Source organism: Homo sapiens, chromosome 8 (genome assembly GCF_000001405.40).
Source record: "Homo sapiens chromosome 8, GRCh38.p14 Primary Assembly".
In the NCBI taxonomy this organism is placed as follows: Eukaryota; Metazoa; Chordata; class Mammalia; order Primates; family Hominidae; genus Homo; species Homo sapiens.
The window spans coordinates 50,717,091-50,737,554 of record NC_000008.11 but is presented as its reverse complement, the minus strand read 5'-3'; the positions used below and the strand labels follow the sequence as shown (position 1 = coordinate 50,737,554).

Below are 20,464 nucleotides of genomic sequence, written 5' to 3'. Positions count from 1 at the left end.
ATGAGTTAGGGAGGAGTCCCTCTCTTGCTATTTTTTGGAATACTTTCAGAAGGAGTGGTACCAGATCCTCTTTGTAACTCTGGTTGAATTCTGCTGTGAATCCATCTAGTCCTGTGCTTTTTTTGGTTGGTAGGTTATTAATTACTACCTCAATTTCAGAACTTGTTATTGGTCTATTCAGGGATTTGACTTCTTCCTGGTTTAGTCTTAGGAGGGTGTATGTGTCCAGGAATTTATCCATTTATTCTACATTTTCTGGTTTATTTGAATAGAGCTGTTTATAGTATTCTCTGGTGGTAGTTTGTATTTCTGTGGGATCAGTGGTAATATGCCCTTTATTGTTTTTTATTGTTTCTATTTCACTCTTTTCTCTTTTCTTCTTTATTAGTCCGGCTAGTGGTCTATTTTGTTACTCTTTTCAAAAAACCAGCTCCTGGATTCATTGATTTTTTGAAGGGTTTTTCATGTCTCTATTTCCTTCATTTCTGCTCTGATTTGAGTTTTTTCTTGTGTTCTGCTAGCTTTTGAATTTGTTTGCTTTTACTTCTCTAGTTCTTTTAATTGTGCTGATAGGGTATTGATTTTAGATCTTTCCCACTTTCTCCAGTGGGAATTTAGTGCTATAAATTTCCCTCTAAACACTGCTTTAGCTGCCTCCCAGAGATTCCGGTACGTTGTGTCTTTATTCTCAGTGGATTCAAATAACTTATTTATTTCATTTATTTACCCAGTAGTCATTCAGGAGCAGGTTGTTCAGTTTCCATGTAGTTGTACAGTTTTGACTGAGTTTCTTAGTCCTGAGTTCGAATTTGATTGCACTGTGGTCTGAGAGACTGTTATGATTTCCATTCTTTTGCATTTGCTGGGGAGTGTTTTTTCTTCCAATCTTGTGGTCAATTTTAGAATAAGTGCGATGTGGTGCTGAAAAGAATGTATCTTCTGTTGATTTGGGGTGGAGAGTTCTGTTGATGTCTATTAGGTCCACTTGGTCCAGAGCTGATCCAAGTTCTGAATATCCTTGTTAATTTTCTCTCTTGTTGATCGGTCTTATATTGACAGTGGGGTGTGAAAATATTCCACTCTTACTGTGTGGGAGTCTAAGTTTCTTTGTACATCTCTAAGAACTTGCTTTATGAATCTGAGTGCTCCTGTATTGGGTGCATATATTTAGGATAGTTAGCTCTTCTTGTTGCATTGATCCCTTTACCGTTATGTAATGCCCTTCTTTGTGTTTTTTGATCTTTTAATTGGGGCATTTAGCCCATTTGCAATTAAGGTTTATATTGTTAGGTGTGAATTTGAGCCTGTCATTATGATGCTAGCTGGTTATTTTGCCCATTAGTTGATGCAGTTTCTTCATAGTCTCGATGGCCTTTACAATTTGGTATGTTCTTGCAGTGGCTGGTACTGTTTTTTCCTTTCCATATTTAGTACTTCCTTCAGGAGCTCTGGTAAGGCAGGCCTGGTGGTGACAAAATCTCTCAGCATTTGCTTGTTTGTAAAAGATTTTATTTCTCCTTTGGGTATGAAGCTTAGTTTGGCTGGATATGAAATTCTGGGTTGAAAATCCTTTTCTTTAAGAATGTTAAATATTGGCCCCCAATCTCTTCTAGCTTGTAGGGTTTCTGCAGAGAGATCCACTGTTAGTCTGATGGGTTTCCCTTTGTGGGTAACCCGACCTTTCTCTCTGGCTGCCCTTAACATTTTTTCCTTCATTTCAACCTTGGTTAATCTGATGATTATGTGTCTTGTGGTGCTCTTCTTGAGGAGTATCTTTGTGGTGTTCTCTGTATTTCCTGAATTTGAATGTTGGCCTATCTTGCTAGGTTGGGGAAGTTCTCCTGGATATTATCCTAAAGAGTGTTTCCAACTTGATTCCATTCTCTCCATCACTTTCTGGTACACCAATCAATCATAGGTTTGGTCTTTTCACACAGTTCCATATTTCTTGGAGGCTTCGATCATTCCTTTTCATTCTTTTTTCTCTAATCTTGTCTTCACACTTTATTTCATTAAGTTGATCTTCAATCTCTGATACCCTTTCTTCTGATTGATCGATTTGACTATTGATACTTGTGTATGCTTCACGAAGTTCTTGTGCTATGTTTCTCAGCTCCATCAGGTCATTTGTGTTCTTCCCTAAACTGGCTATTCTAGTTTGCAATTCCTCTAACCTGTTTTCAAGTTTCTTAGCTTCCTTTCATTGGTTTAGAACATGCTCCTTTAGATTGGAGGAGTTTTTGTCTAATATTAGTTTAGAAAATTAGCTTTTCTTTGGCTATCATTTGCATGGAATATATTTTCTCAACAATTCTCTTTTAAACCACCTGTGTCTTTAGATCCAATGTTAGCCTCTTGTGTACAGCATACAGTTAGATCATTTTTTAAATCCAATATGTCGGGCAGGAAGAATGAGTAATTATTGCTTAATAGTTACAGAGTTTCTGTTTCGGATGATGAACAGATAGTAGTAATGATTATACAGTGGTGTAAATTAATTAAAGCCACTGAATTGTAAAATTGTTTAACATTACAAGTTGCATGGTTGAGATATATATATATGGACATATATATGGATAGATATATATGGATATATAGATATATATGTCCATATATATCTATATATGTATATGGACATATATATAGATATATATATGTCCATATATATAGATATATATATGTCCATATATATAGATATATATATGTCCATATATATAGATATATATATGTCCATATATATAGATATCTATATATATGTCCATATATATAGATATCTATATATATGTCCATATATATAGATATCTATATACATGTCCATATATATAGATATATAATGTCCATATATAGAGAGATATATATATGTCCATATATACATATCTATATATATCTCCAGAGAGAGAGAGACAGAGAAAGAGATGAGAGAGCGAAAGAGAGAGAGAAAGTGCCACCATTTAGAAAGAAAAGATTCTGGAAACAACATAGTTCAAAATCCATTCAAAGCAAATACTAATTAAAATTTTTATATTTTAAAAATACATAGTGAAACATTAAAATCATAGATATGTCAATAATGATGGGAGAATTTTCAAGTAATATGTAATGATATTGAGGCAGAATAAATTAATATAGAATTTCATTTAAAAAATTTATTTATTCAACAGATATTTATGAAGTGGCTAGTATATACTGAGTATTTTGCTAGATAATTAGAATGAAAAAGATACTGTCACTATCCTGAAGATGTCAGTCTCTATATAAATACTACACTTGATCTTAGCCAAAAGGCCGAGAAGCAATAGTCTCTGTATAAATAAATGTCTATAGTTTGTTTCTTACTACATTAACCTATGCAAGTTATTGAAAAGCAATATCCAGTCATTTCAATTCATCTTCAATGTTTCCTTTATATATATTTTATATAGTATCCCTTTCACAATAAAACTATTTGGGGCAATTAAGTCTTTGGAAAAAATATTTTAAAGTTAAGTTTTTCATCACATAACTTCCTTTAAAGCAAATCTCTCATATTTCAAAAAGTAAAGTAATTTAAGCAATCTAAGTTATAGAAAAATTACATAGAATTATATAAGTGAATTTTTAGTAATTTTGGAAATATATGAAGTCCTAGACATGACAGTAATAAGAAATTACAAATTCATTTAGTAAAATTAATGCATATTAACCAATATTAAAAGAAAAATAATAGTCATAATGCTATATAGTATAAAATACGATAAAATGTAAGAAAAACTCTAAGCACCTGATAAAGAAAAGAAAAAACTCCATTAAAAAATAGACGAAGGACACGAACACACATTTCTTAAAAGAAGACATACAAGCAGCCAACAAACACATGAAAAAATGCTCAGCATCACTAATCATCAGAGAAATGCAAATCAAAACCACAATGAGATACCATTTCACACTTGTCAAAATGGCTATTATTAAAATGTCAAAAACAACAGATCCTGGTAAGGCTGAAGAGAAAAGAGAGTGTTATACACTGTTGGTGGGAATGTAAATTTGCACCACCACTGTGGAAAGCAGTCTCATGATTAATCAAAGAAGTTAAAACAGAGATACCATTTAGCCCAGATATCCCATTACTGGGTATATATCCAAAGGACTATAAATCATTCTATCAAAAAGATACATTCATTCATGTGTTCATTGCTGCACTATTCACAATTGCAAAGACATGGAATCAACCCAAGTCCCTATCAATGGTAGATTGGAAAAAAAAATGTGGTACCTATACATCATGGAATACTACATGGTCATAAAAAAGAATAAAATCTTTCCCTTTGCAACAGCATGGATAGAGATGGAGGCCATAATCCTAAGCAAATTAAATGCAAAACAGAAAACCAAATTCCACATGTTCTCATTTGTAAGGAGAGCTAAACATTGAGCATAAAATAACATAAATATGAGAACAATAAACACTGAAGAACACTAGAGGGGTAGGGAGGGGGTTGTCTGTTGAAAAACTGTCTATCAGGTACTATGCTCACAGTCTGAGTGGCAGGATCCATACCTTGAATCTCAGCATCATGAAAATTCCCATGTAACAAACCTGCACATTTGCCTCCTGTATCTAAAATAAAAGTTGAAAAAAATACACAAAATACAAAAAATATTGCAGAAAGATGTTATTTTTTAAAAAAGGAAAAACAATTATTTTTGTTAACAACCATAGGAGAACCTGTTCAACCTCATTAGAAATCAAGAAGACTGCATTAATATTACAGAGACTGTTTTTTTCATCATTATATTAGTAAAGATCACTGAAAATTATATTAACTAAAGCTAGTAAGGTTATGTGGAAAAAATATTTACATAACATTGTTGATGACGTTGTAAAATTTTAGTACAGCAATTTTAAATATATATTTTAAGCCCTTAAAATGTTAATATTATTTGATCCAGAAATTCCATTTATAAAAATTAATTGTATGGAAATACAATATATAAAATGTAAAGGAATATGTTAAACACCTTATTATTAATGAATATCAAAAAATGAAAATTCTAAACATTTTGTGTTAAAATAATGCTGATGAGTATTATGTAGATATACGGAAAAATGCAAGTAATATAATGTTAGGGGAAACATAAGGACGTGAAATTTATTTTATGTTAAAACAAACAAAGACACCTGTAACAAATAGAGAAAAAATGTCTGCCAAAGTACCTCACTGTTTGTAGCACGCCTTGACATTAACCTACTGTGTAGTGTTGGACAAGATACTTTATTTTTAGCTTGGCTTAACTATAAATGCAAGGTTTTGAAATTCTCAAATTATAATTATAAATTTGAAATGATATTTTATATATAGTAATTACACTATTAAACAGGTATTTGCTATTTCAACTAGATGTACTTTTAAGAGTGAACAGACTTTAAAAACTCATAATAAAGTTCCTCTGGCTATAAGAATGTGTATTAGAGTCATATGAAAGAGGTTTGATACATTTTTGAATATGAAGCATGAATCCTTGGCTATCAGTAGGATACCCCAAAGATGGATATAAAGAAGTTAATGAATATACTTAACTGAAGGACTTGTCAGCTAAAAGATAATGCAGTAAACTAGGAAAAGAGACAAGAACGTAGGCAAATTGTGTAAACTTGTAAAACTCAAAGAAATTTACTAAGGCCAATTTGGAATAACCTAAGTCAAAATTATTGTCAATGAAAGTTATAAAGTTCTGAAAAATGGCTAAACTCAAGGACTTATTGGCAGTCTTATTTCTTTTACCAATATTTTGTTCCTAAGATTCTGATAAACACTATGGCAATTGTGTTAAGAATATTAATGATGAAAAGGATGAGCAGACATCACCATTTTTGATAGCATGTAGTTTACATTGCTCTGTAATGCAAATTGTGAGTGCCATTGTAAATGCCTTATAGCTGGCTCTGAGGTAGACCCAGACAGGAGAGTGTTGAGTAAGCTGTTAGAAGTACGTGTAGAGTGGGATGGCTTATTTAATTCACTTTGATTTGGTTAGAAACCAGGTGCTAGTAAGAAACACAGGAGCAAGAATTTTTGGCGTCAAAAGCTTTTCAATCAGGTAGAAAGTAAATCAAGATATAGTAATGAGATCTGTATAAAATATGTGTAGAATTTACTAATTTGCATAATGATACTAAAACTCTCAAAAAAATATGCCAATTTGTCTCCCTTTTTCTCATACTGGTAAAGTTCATGCACTCTAGGATAATCAGTAGTTGCCTACATCGAATGAGATCAAGGGGATTCTAAAGACCAGAAACCACTCTCTCCTGTTTATCTCCTTTTGTGCCCTCTTCTCCAGGCACTGGCCTGAACTCCATCATCAGGAAATTAAGATGCTTTCCCCTATTACAATGCATATATCCCAGGAATGATCATGTATTTTGTTGTTGGCAGTGTACTGAAATAAAGATGAATACTGAGCTCAGAGCCACAAACCCTAAAATGTAATCTGAATTTTATATTCTACTTATAAGCCACATGACTTTGGGCAAGATTCTTAATTTATTAGAGCCTGATCATATTTTACTGTAAATTAGAAGTAATAATGTCTGACTATTCTACTTTAAAGGTGAGTGTAAAAAGGGGTGAAATAATAATGCTCATAAAATCGCTTTGTAGATTGCAAAGTTTTTTCCTCTATTATTTCAAACTAGTTTAGTAGCGTTCTTCCAATAGAACAGTAAGCTGATGGCAAACTTGAATGTCAGAAGTCACCTGAATACAAGTACTAATGGTGATGCTTCTGGGAGGATATGGAAGCAGAAGTAAGAACTTTCTGAAGATGAATATTGCCTCCTTCATATTTTATGATGGATCTTTCTGTATTCATTAAAAATTCTTTTTATTTCATCTTAAACATGTCATAAAATTCATAGCATTTTGAGACAACATATCCTTATGAATGTCTATAATGATTTTTCAATGCCATTAATGGTACATATGCTGACTGCTAGTTCTAGGTTATATCACGTCTGCAAAACACATCCTCTTGTTCCATTTGCTCCTATAATCTTTTTGTTCATCTTCGTTAATGCATAAAGCTTTTGTCATGTAATGCCCCTAATGTCAGAGCAAACAGAGTGCTGAGTAGTGCCAAAATAGTGTGAAATAATAAAAGCAGAAATAATTTTTTACTGTGAATGCTTAAATCCTTTGAAGAGATATGTGCTTTCACTAATTTGATTATTTCAAAGCCTTTTAAATAGCAGTGTTCTTTTTCACACTAATTAATGCCTTCATCCCCTCGGCCTCACTCAATATGTGGCATAGCCCCCTCCACTTAGCAGAGAAAACTAAGCATGTCTTTCCACGGTTCTCTTTGTTTTTCCAAATATAGTTTTACTTTCATATATTCAAATCACTTTCTTTCATTCAAAATTAATTAAACCTTATCATTTCCAAAGTATATTTGTACAATATTCTGGATTGAAATTTTTTTCTTCCAGTCTCCTCTGAAACTGATCTATCTTCTCTTCCCAATCGCTCTCATTTTTTCTTATCCAACTACTTTTTAGCATCGCAGTCCGTGTAGTGAATACGGGGTGCTCCCTCCAGGTCAGGGTTAGCACTCCCATCTCCCAGCTGCTCGGGGTACCTGCTGCTGCCGATTTGCCTTTTTACCCATCATAATGAATTCCTTGGTCACAGTTGAAGTCCTAGGTGATATAGAAATATAAATGTCTGACCCTGTTGTTTCTGTTAGGATAACTCTGTAGGACAATCAAAGCTTCAGAATTCCCCTTAAGTATGACTAGCCCTTAGGTACAATTACCTGTGGGTCAGCTTATCCTTCTTGCCTATCCTCCCTTCCTCTTTACATACAGGTGTGTCCTGAGTGTACCAACTCACAAACCTATTTCTCTGCCGTGAATACTACTCTATGAAATTCAAACTAGCATAGCTCATGCTAGGTGTAGTTCTCAATACAAAGGCAAAAATGAAATATTGGACATGGATTGCCTGCTAGCTGGCTGACAAAAGAGACCCCCATCACTGGAGGGGAGGTAGACATGGGCTTAACTTAATTTGCCAAACTCTATGACATTAGAAGTGTCTATTCCAAAGAAAGAACCTGTGTGAAATTTATGTGAAGCCCTCATAGGAGAATCACAATATAGACCTCTTTGGTCTCTGGAGAAAAGTGATTCCATCTCCAGCAAATCTGCTTACCATTTCTTAGTCAGAGGCCCTTGTAGAGAGAAATGCTTACATGTATCCCATGTATCCAGGGCTACACATTATATTTGGACTCTGTCTGCCTAATAAGCTATAAGGTACAGCAGGGCAATGTAAAAAGTTGTAGTATGTAATGTATTCACCTGGAATCAGGGATGAGCCAAGCCACAGGGCACCAGCAAGCTATCCAAGCTGGCAGCCCAGGTGTCCATCTCATCACCAGCCTAGGACCTGCACCACTCAACAACTAGCAAATATGCCACCTAAGGGACAATCCCTATGGTGACCTAAGATAGAACAAAAGGCGAAGATTTGCTCACAGATAGACAGGCTCAGCATGCAAGCTAAATATTGAGGTTTCCTCTTCAACAGCCCCTCAGTTAGTTGTTCTTAAAACATAAGTGAGGAGAAAATGCTCCCCACTGCACAGAACTCTGGACAGTGCATCTGGGTATCCATTTTCTGCAAATACAAGTGGAATGAGATAAGAATATGGGTGATTCATGGACAGAGGTGAAAGATTTGACCCAGTCAGGGATCTAGGATTACTAAAATATCACATTAGGGAAAAAGGGGTCCGAGGAAAAAGCCCCAAACAATGAGCACTCCTAATACTTCAGAGATTTTACAACAGCCTGGCTCTGTCATTGGCATAAAGAATGCATTAACAAATGCGGGCCACACATGAGCCCAACCTGACTCCTCATGCACACAGGAGGATCCAGCTTCTACCACAGCTGAATGTTCAATCTGTCACCAATAGAAGCCAAAAATGAGTGCTCAAGGTGCCACCAATGTGGCTAAATCAATCAACTATTTGGTGGCAGATTGATAATATTGGGCTCTTTTCACCCCAAAGAGGCATTAATTTATTTAGACATGAATAGACACACACTCTGGTATGAGTTTGCCTTTCCTGTTCACCAGGCCTCAACATTTTAGGACTTGCAGAATTTTTGCAGGAGTCTTTGTAACTCCTCATCCCTACAGAACCATTGTACAACAAAAGAGGTGCTGGAGCATCATCAAGACACCTAGTGGTGCCCTCGGCGCTGCATCACCCTCAGAGTTTGGGCAAAAGAGGACAGACAGTTCAATGGCCTCTTCGTATATAGTTAGTGTTTCATCTAGGAGATATACTATGAGAAGGGGACACCACCCCCAAGGTGTGGTGGAATAGACCTGGAATCACTGACCAATACACAGTTCTGTGTCCCTGGCAGGTAGGTAGACTACATGGGTCAGAGAACGAAGAGGTGGATTTAGGACAGGTTGCAGCTATCACCTTTCCCAGCTGCTCAAATGGGGAATGTGAGCATCTTGTGCTGACAACTCTGTACTGTGCAAGTGGAGGCCATAAGCCACGGTGCTTTCTGGTGCTTCTAAACACTTTGTACCAAGAGATCAGTAAACAGTTTAAGGAGTCACCTTCTGCAGGGATAATTGTCCCTTAACACAATCAGGAGGTAGGAGGAAGGTGAAGAAGAACTTATTTGGCATGCAATAACTCTGCTAAATGTTTATGCTGCCATTGTCACTTTTAATGGTCAGTGGGAATAAATCAGCATCCATAGCCACAGGATCAGCTCTTGGGATGACAGTGTGAGTTAGCCCAGGAGGCAAACTTCCCAGAGCAGCAGATGTTATGGTAATGACAGGGCCAATCAAGAATGAGGAGTGGAGGAGGGGATGATGCTTGTCAGTTATGGCCTTGACAACAGCCATAGCAGCAGGGGCTATTTATCATCTCACTAACCCTTCTCTTGTTTTCTACAGAAGGACCAGTGAGAATCCAGGGCCAGTGAGAATCCAAAATGCACCTGGATGGGCCCACTTTAGCATAAAAAGCCAGTGGGGCTGTGGAATGGGAGATGTGCACTGCAGTGGATATTGTGGTTCTCTGCTCACATCTGTTGGGAGGGCTGCTGGACTCCCAGCATCTAGAAATATCATCTGTTGAAAGCTCTCTCAAAGAAAACTCTTAACGGAACCCAATCTAAGACAGCTTGTATAGAGATTAAAATTGATATATTTGAAGTGAATTTTCATCTTCCCCTCAACCACTCTCTTCTTTAATTTATTTTAGGGATTGTCAGCACTTTTACTCCATCTTCTAAGCATTACATTTGAAAATAAAATCAACTTTACCATCAGACTCCCTGCCTCTAATTCTGTTAATTCTAATTCCCACACACCTCATGAATCTCTATGTCATCATTATCATTATACACCACTAATATAGTTTAGATACCTTTTCTCTCTTGCGTATTCACAGTAAATTCAAAATTAATTTATTTTCTCTACTCTTGACATTCCACATTGTATAATGTAAGCCCACTCCCTTCCCTTTTTTCAACTTAAATCATATTTCTGCTACATAACATCTTTCAATGGTAGTATCATGATCAGATTTAAATCCTTGTTAAGACACACAAAATCCTTCAAGATTTAGCCTTGCTCAATTTTATTTATTTATTTATTTTATTTTACTTTATTTTATTGTTTTTTGAGACAGAGTCTCACTCTGTCGCCTGGGCTGTAGTGCAGTGTTGCAATCTTAGCTCACTGCAAGCTCCACCTCCTGGTTTCACGCCTTTCTCCCGCTTCAGCCTCCTCAGTAGCTGGGACTACAGGCGTCCGCCACCACACCCTGCTAATTTTTTGTATTTTTAGTAGAGACGGGGTTTCACTGTGTTAGCCAGGCTGGTCTCGATCTCCTGACCTTGTGATCCACCTGCCTCGGCCTCCCAAAGAGCTGGGATTACAGGCGTGAGCCAGTGCGCCCAGCCTCAAATTTCTAATCTCATTTTTGCCACTGACTTTCAACTGTACTCTGTTCCAGCCAAGCAACTCTTGATTATTCACAAATCATGATGCTTTTGCTCATTCCTTCCACCTTGCCTGTTGCCCACTCTGCCTGAGGGGCCCCACTTGAGCGCTCCCCCAACTTCGGCCAGTTCATGTCTCGTTTTATGTTTCAGTCTCCAGGAAAATCATAACTCCTTAGGGAAGCTTTTTCAAAAACACACTACTGGCTGAAATATGTGTCCTTACTAACTGCTCCATAGCACCTTGTGTAATAAACAGTAATAAAATATTTTATTTATTAATTTTTAGAAATTAGTGATATTGATGAGAAGATTATGAATGACTTTGTTATGAGCTCTTTCAGTGCACTATTTTAATGCAATGAGGAGTTCCTGGTTAATAACATGTTAATGTGGGTTTAGGAAGTTAGCTCTCCAAATGGAAATTATATTTGTACACACACATACCACATGTCACATACCTGTACACAACTAGGCACTGAAGAAGGATAAAATGTGAAGATGTGTATTATTGTGTTATAACCTGAGAGGGAAGACAGAGTAGGTAGAAGTTCATTTCTTTTTCAAGTGTGGAATACTAAAGAGCCTTGCCAATCCTACAGTCACACTCAGGAAGCGTGGGTAGAGAAGATGCACCTCTGTAATTCAGCAGCATCGGCACAAGGCTTTGTTTTTGGTGGTCAAAATTTATATCAAACCAGAATATTCTCCTGGTTAGCAAAAATGCAATAGACATGGTACTTGCTGATAAAACTAAGTGCATCTGGATATGAGGTGCTAAAGGCAGCTTGTTTCTTCAGGTCTATTGCAGGGGAAGTATTCAACACCTCTGCTCATGAGCCAGTTGGTGTAACAGCCTGCTTGCTGCAACCTGTCCTCTGGCATCAGGCAATCTTTCAACGGGGCGGTGAAAAACAGAGGAAATTAGAGGTGTCACGTACTTAAAATATGGACAGGAAAGAGGATAAATGGCCATTCTGTAGAGTTTGTAAGCAGTAACCTGAATGCTTGTAAAAGACGTTTTGTTGTTTATTATATTATTAAGACTATATTTATTACTTTTATATTATTTTGGATTATAATATAGAACTATATATACTTATCTTACAGTTTGATGTTTTAGACTCAACTTTAGTTAAGTTAAAAAAGTAAGGTGAGCATTAAATGAAAAATTGACTAGTGAATTCTAATATATCATAAAGTTGATAAGAAGTATGCAATTGCACAAAATGTTGTTTAATGTTCACCCATTCACCATGGGAATAACTGATTGCATAAAAGCCAAATGGAACAAATTAGCATATGCTTGAAATACAGGATTAGTAGTTATTTTAAAAACAAAACGTCGCCCAAATAAGTTGATCTAATATATTTAGATGGAGAAGGTATATTTACAAATCATTCTTTATGCATAACTTTTTATTTTGATCCAACGATTCTCCATATAAATGAAATATACTCATTTTGAATATGAAGTTTTCTTATCAAAGTGAGCCGAATGATATTTATTTGTCTCCATTAGTAGAATAAATCCACAGATAATTAAATGATGTCTTCTTTCTATTAATGCTTCAAATTTAAAAAAATCTGTTAACTCTAATAACTGTTTTTTCCATCCCATTTGTAGAATAAAAGTTTTAGAAATTTATTTCTATCAAATTAAACTATCTCTATTATTTTGAATGCTACCATAAATTCATCTAAACCTTTAACATTGGTTATGTTATTTACTATACACTGATAATATGAATATATGCAATTAATAGAGCACAGAGTTGTAGCAAGATCAAATTCTTCTAAATTAAAAAACATATGTACCTGAAGTGCACCTGAATTGATTTTGGTGAACATGCCATTCATAATTGCATCTCAACAAACTGTGATCCTCTACCAAAAATAATCTACCAAAAATGATTAGTCTACTTATTAATGATTAGATAATTAATAGAATGAAATATCTCTCAGTTTCTCTTTAGTGTGCCTAGTATATGTTTATATTTTAGAGATAACAGTCTTTTAAAAATAATGCTTGACAAAATAATCTTACAGGTGAACCAATACCAGGAAACCAATTTGTTAGCTAATAATTATTTATTATCACATCTTGGGCAGCAAATTGCATGGCCACATTACTTATTATTAGCCCGAGGAGACCACATATTCAACTAAAACTATACGGAACTCAGATAAGAGGAAAACATTTAAATATGTCTCCGACACCCACCCCTTTCCCAAACAGAGATTCCTTACTTAAAATCATTTGGCACCTCTGTTGCTTTGTTTGTGATTATCTATATTATATCTGTGATATCTTCCACAGCCAGTGACCCTTCCTGTTTCTGATATCAAATATAAAAAATGTAACTAAGATTGTTTAAAATACAAAGCAAATGTTAAATACAAATAACACCATGGAATAAAAGCTTTTGATAAAGTAAACATGAATTTATTTTCTACACTACAATCAGAATTATCTTTTTTATTCTCTCGCTCCCTCTTCCTCACCCTGCCCTCCTTATGTTCTTGGAAAAAAGCAAATAGCAAAGCCCTTTCATGCCTCTGATTTAACACTTCTCATTTCCTCTCTTTGAAACCTTTTTACTCCTACTCATTTCATAGCTATTCCATTCTTGCTATGGTCTCACTACAAATATTACTGCCTTAGGGAGTCTTTTCCTGCAAAACTACTAAAAGACCTTCTGAAACCCCTCTCTGTCAATACCTTTCTCCTTTTTTTTTTCCATAGGCCTCATTGCCATGAATCCCTCCTGCTGTGCACCTCTCCTTGTAATGAGAGCTTCCAGTCAGTCTAACTGACCCACTGTTGAAGCCCTGGGTCCTAATGGAGTTACTGGCATGCAGGGGACGTGCAATAATTCCAACTTTTGTAAAATAAACATATTAAAACAGAATCAATTTTAATGAAGAAAAATCACTTCATTTCCCTGTAGTTATGTGGTTGTCATGTTATTGGAGGCCTGTAATCGGGAAGTGGGGGAAACATATACTAAAACGAGAGCTTATAAAAGCCTATGAAATGCCCAACTTTAGAGAAGGCATGGTGAAAACAGCCAGTAATATTTTCTGGACTGTGCAAGCCCAATGGTCTCTGTCTTCTCTCGAGAACTTTGGTCAAAGGACCTTGAATTTGGATTGAATAATTCCTGCCATTAGTAATAGTCTTAATTTGCTGAACTTGGTAGAGATCAAGTCGAAAGGAGAGAGCAAAAGAAATAAATAAATGAACAAAACTAATAGCAATGTATGATGAAATTTTTGAATATTTTAAAGCCTGGAATTTGACCCAAAACCTTTATATTAAGTAATTACAGACCAGATTTTTACTTTCCCATGTCTTTCCATGGACCTGTGAAGCTCCTGCTTGCTCCTCCAGAACAAGGAAGTCAAATGTGGTCACGTACGTTTGGTGAGCTTCATTAGCACGATAGTCTGAGGATATTTTCATAAAAGAAAATCATTTAACATTGTTTATGCAAGCACTTTCTTTTTCCCATGAAATGCAAGTTGAGAAGTGATAAAATATGCACTATAGAATAGAATATGTAATACATTTACATATAGTGTTAATGGATTTAAGATACCTATTGATTTATTAAAACTTGTTTGTTTTTGACAGTCAAAAACAGTGTTTCATTAAAAATATTCCTTGGACATTTATATGAAATGATAAGCATATAATTTTTCTTGAATTTTAAAATACAATTAAATATTTCCCATACGCAAAACCTGAAAGTAAAGATGAAGAAAGAACAACACAACAAATCCCAGCACTTTTACTACTGGAGTTCACTATAACAGAATCATTGAAGACTGTCAATGGCAAAAGCCATGTATGTGGTAAAACTGTTTCAATCTAAGGGCTGATTAAATAATTAATTAAAGAATATAAAAGAAAAATACGTTCTGCAGAAGAATAATTTGCCTATGAGCTACTATCTATAAGAGATAAATCTTATTTGAAGGAATGCATGCAAACAGGTAAGCATTACAGAACCTTGGATTCAATGCAATCACATTGAATTATACAATGTGGGCCAGGTGTGGTGGTTCACGCCTGTAATCCCAGCACACTGGGAGGCTGAGGTGGGAGGATCAGTTGAGGTCAGGAGTTCAGAATCAGCCTGGCCAACATGGTAAAAACCCCGTCTCTATTAAAAATACAAAAATTAGCTGGGAGTGGTGGCACACACCTGTAGTCCCAGCTACTCGGGAGGCTGAGGCAGGAGAATTGCTTGAACCTGGGAGGTGGATGTTGCAGTGAGCTGAGATCGCACCACTGCACTCCAGCCTGGGTGACAGAGCAAGACTGCACCTCAATATATATATGTACACACACACATATACGTATATATATATACACATATGTATACATATATATGTATATATATACATACATACAATGTGATCATAAGTAATGATTAATCCATGTGCAATTGAAGATGAAATGTTGAAATTTTATCAAGCAGAATTTTTCATATTAAGAGAATGAGGCATATAATATGTAATCCATCATTTGTTCCTGACACTGAATCATTTGATGGCTGAACACAAGCACAGATTATAAGTAATTTGAAAATACTTCATTTAGTGTGTGTGATGCATTCTGAGAGTCTGCTGTTCTTTCAGTGAAGCAACATCTTTGTTATTTATTAAAATGGGCATTCACTGTGCTGGGCCCTTTCCTATGTTATCTCTGATCCCTGCAAGAGCTATGCAATAGCTAGAGTTATTGCAATTTCCCAGTATACAATAAAGGAAGCACCATACACGTTCACCACATTTCATAGCTAAGAAGTAGAAATCACAACTAAGTCTGTCATTTTCCACATATATTTCTTCTTTTATTCTGACCTACCTTTTTAGTGATTTCCCTAACCAAACATCAGACTCATTTATTGAACATGATTATAAATAAACTCTTATTGCTAATGCCTGACTTCTTTCTTAAAATAGAGGAAAGACTTAGAGTCCCATTTAGAATAAGACACTAAACCCAGGAAAGCAATTTATTCATAGCATGCTCTGAGTCATCACTTCTTCTTATAATAATGCTGCTATTTTAAGAATTTGTCTCCACCATATGTGAAAAGTTTCCCATAAGCTATTCATTTGAGTAAGGCCCATTGTAAAATTGGCTCAAAGCTTGAAAATGCCAGTAACCTAGAGAATGTCAGTGGGAAGGGAAGAGGAAACAAAGCTTGCCCTAACTTTTTATTTTTGACACTTACAATACAGGTACAAAGCTGGCTGCTAGCTCCATCAGAAAACAGGGATACAAAGCTGGCTGCAACTAAGGGACACAGGTTAATGAATAAATTCACTTTCAAATGACATCAAGTGTTCCTTGGATGCAGACCATTCAAAACTGTAATGCATTAATAATGTACAAATGGAAGGTGAAGTTGTATTAATGCTAATGAAAGGCTTACATGTTGAACAAAAAAGGTTAAAAATCCCCCAGCACATTCTTTATTCATTTCCTTACCAGCTCACTGTTTTCAGGTCCAATTATTCATGACCTAGAGAAAAATTTCTGTTTAAAGAAACTGAAGCAACTTTCACATATAAAGGTAAACTAAACCCTATGTTAACTATTTTATGTGCAATAAAAGTAGCTTTTTACCACATAGGTAAAAAACAAAAACAACAACATTTGAAAGAACGATTTATGTAGCTTATAACTTATTCTATAGAACATGTTAAAAATTACAACAATAATGCTTTGAAGGCAGTATCTATTTATACTCTTCTCACATCACAAATCACCTGGTATTTGATATTTGACTCATGAGTGTCCAGCAATAACCGTAAACATACCTTTTATCCTTTGCAAATTGTCTTGATGAATCTTCTGTTTAAGCAATTGATCAAACTGTCCCACCAAATCCTATTTCTATTTGGCATTATCCCTCTTGAGTCTGTAACTAGGCCCTCATAATGCTTAGACTTTTCTCCATACTGCATGAAAGTACCTACCCAATTCTAGATCTGTCCTTTTCATTAGACTGTAGACTTCTTGAGGGGAGGGACTGCATCTGTTGTTATACTCCTAGTATGTAGCAATAGTCATGTAGCATAATTGATGCATAATAAGAATGTCTTCAATAAATAAATTGACAAGTCCTATTTGGAAGATATTGTGGTAATACAAATGAGAAGAGGTTAGCTAAGTTAGTAATATTGAAAATGGAAAAGAGGGAACACCTTTTAGATTTGTTTAGAGAAAGTTATTAAAAGGCTAAATGGCAAGGGTAAGGATAAGGCAAGAGGATAGAATTAAATCTGGATTTATTTAGATAGTTGAGATGGGAATACAAAGGTGTGAGACTAAAATGGACAGCAAGCTCAATGTTGAACACACTTTTGAAATGTCGTTATTATGGAGTCTTAGAGATCATGCATGTTTGAACTGGACATAATAGAACAGGAATGCATTATCATTGGGCCAGTTGCCTAAATTAAAGATTGAACTAAATTGTCTAATCAAGCTCAGAACTTCTCCCTCAAATGTATTTCATCTAAATTTATTCCCTTCAAATTAACTTCACATAAAAAAAATATATTTCATCAACTATATTAAAAAATTCAGAGGAGTATACAGGTCTTCACTTTGAGAATTTATTTGAAATCTATTAAGGAGAAAAGTTAATCTTTTTCTATTAAAATTTTTCTAAAACTCAAACATTATAGATTAATTTTATAATACCTTAATGATATCAATCTGGTAAGTTGATGTATTACAATATTTATTTTAATCATAGCCATGTAAAATTTTTCAAAAGAATGCCCCAAATTCATGTGGTAAAGAAAGCACCAGCACATTTCCACATACTACTGGTCATGGTATGCTGTTTGTTATTCTTAACCTACAGATTTTATTTTCAGAAAGTTTACATGCCATCTGTGTGATGAAAATAGCAAAAAACTTTGTTTTGTTGGTACAGATTTCTTGGATTCTAAGAGCATGTTAGGCTGTTCCTCCTGCTATAACAAAATATCCAGGACTGAATAACATAGAAACAATAGAAATGTATTTCTTACAGTTCTGGAGACTGGAAGTCCAAGATCAAGGTGCTGGCAGATTTGGTGTCTGGTGAAAGGTCATTCTCTGCTTCGAAAATAGTGCCTTGTTGCTGCCTTCTCCCGTGGCAGAAGGAGGAAGGGCAAAAAGGACTAGGGCACCACTTCAACTTCTTTTATAAGGGCACTAATTCCACTCATGAGGACAGAGCCACATGACTTAATCACCTCCCGAAAGGCTCTCCTCCTAATGCTATCACATGAGGTATTAGGTTCTAATGTATGAATTTTGAAGGAACACATTCATTCAAATCATGGCAAAGGTTATTTTTGTTTTTGTTTAACTTGTTATTGTTGCTTTTTTCTGCAAACATGATAAAATTCAATCACACTAATAATTTGTATTATCAATTTTCTGTAGGAATAAACTCTTCTATTTATTTCTTTTTAACATATGAACACACAGTTGCCAGTTCAATGGATAGTAAACATTCTAAAGAGAAAAACAAATGAGTATCCTCAGAGATGTACATCTAAGTAAATGCATTCTGCAATCTAAGAAACAACCACTGTCTCTGTTCTCCTCAAGGTTGTCTGCAGGCTGGCCCACTGACAGAGATTAAGCACTTTATAAAATAAAATAACTGACAAATTAATAAATATCTGTATAGTTTTATTTTTGAGGCCACACTATTCTTCACATTTACTAATATGACTTCTGGAATTTAATTATGAACTTTATTGATGCAAATTCTATGGACCGGGCTGATCTGCCCTCCCACTTGATAGTGGCCTCAACCACATGACATGCTTTGACTGACAGTGGGATTTTGCAGTTGTTCCCAATACAGAGACTAAAATAGAATTGCGCATTAGGGCTTTCTCTCTTCTCCCTTTGCCCTTTACAAGAAAAGGACATGCCTGGGCTAACCTCCTCATTCTTAGAGAAGAATAAGGAACAATCAGAGGATGTTCGAGAGAACCATCCGAACTGCAGCCGTATAAATTAGCCTGTCCAGATCAATCTTCTGAATCCCACAGAAGCACGAGAAACAAATGTTTACTTTCGTAAGGCAGTGATGCATAGTCATTATGCGTTACATGGCAAACTTGGGCCACTGCTGATGTAAGTGCCAACTCTTCAACATGAAGTCCAAAGTTCCTCAGATTTGGTGCCTGACTATTTTACTTTTGTGTGCCCTTCCCAACCCCTAATTTTCCTCCTCCTCTGTCAGTGTTCTGTCAAGTCTCAGGGATTTCACACTTGCCTTTCAATCTTCCTTCACCGTGTGCCTACTTAGACACCCAGGACCTACAAATTCTCAAGTGAAATGTATTTTTTTCCAACTATTGCTAATGGCCCATTAATCTAGTTTGCAGCTTCCAGGTTATCCTGAACTCTCTTTGCTAAGAACCATTTAAACTCACGACTACTTGTTCAACATCAATCTTCATTGGGCTAAAAGGACAGAGACCTCCAAAAGCACAAACCCTAAGGACTGAAATGTAACAGACATTAACTCTGCTGACTGGTTGATCAAGACTTACAGAAAACACAGTGCCCCTTCGACATCTTGAGGATGGTAGCACAGTAGCAAAGGGTCGCTGGTACTCATGTACTGCAGTGGGTGGGACTATCCCACAGTGTGTGAGGGGCAGAAATGTTCATCTCTTTCTAAGGGTTCATCATGCAAGTCTCACTGTGCAAAACACTTCACACACATTTTCTTGCTTACACTTTACCATAAGCCTGGGAGAAAAGTGTTATTAAGATATCCATTTTAGAGATGAAGAAAATGAGGCTCACTGTGTCTGTATGATTTGCAGAAGCAACTCCCTGATGTGTTCTGAGGAATTTGAAACAGAAAGAAAAAGCATGATAAAATTCTAGTTATAGATGAAAGGATATGTTGTGGTTGAGACAAGATCTATTGAAATATGGGCTAGCTGGAAATAATGCTCAGATGTTTCAGAATCTCTACCTTATGTTTTACAGTTTATTATTTTTAACATGCTATCTCATTTAATTTTAGAATAACGCTGTAAGGAAAAGCAAAGTTATATCATTCCCATTCAATTCATGCAGGTTTGAAGGATAATACTTTGAGTTACAAAACTTTTATGGAAATCAAAAATGATAATTTAAGCAAAGGTAAACTAAAATACGATGAGAAAAGTTTGAAGTCAGTTATTCTTAATCATAAAAACATTAATCCAGAAAAAAATAAAATATATCAGAAGCCACAGAAAGAAAGAATAAAAAAGTAAAGATTTAAGGAGAAGGAAAACAAGACATAAAATTTAAGGGTATGAAAAGTATATATTAGCCAAAGACCTTTTGAATCTTTCTTGATTTTGTTTTTTCTATATTTGAATTATAAACATAGCAGTGAATTA

At 35.4% G+C, this 20,464-nt stretch overlaps 1 protein-coding gene and 1 pseudogene across 13 annotated transcripts in view; both read right to left on the bottom strand.

The window, feature by feature from the left end:
• SNTG1 (syntrophin gamma 1) overlaps positions 1 to 20,464 on the bottom strand; it is an 886,897-nt gene that overhangs the window by 59,138 nt on the left and 807,295 nt on the right. The gene's annotated exons all lie outside the window — the stretch shown is intronic.
• Positions 3,189 to 3,297, bottom strand: LOC124902098 (uncharacterized; annotated as a pseudogene).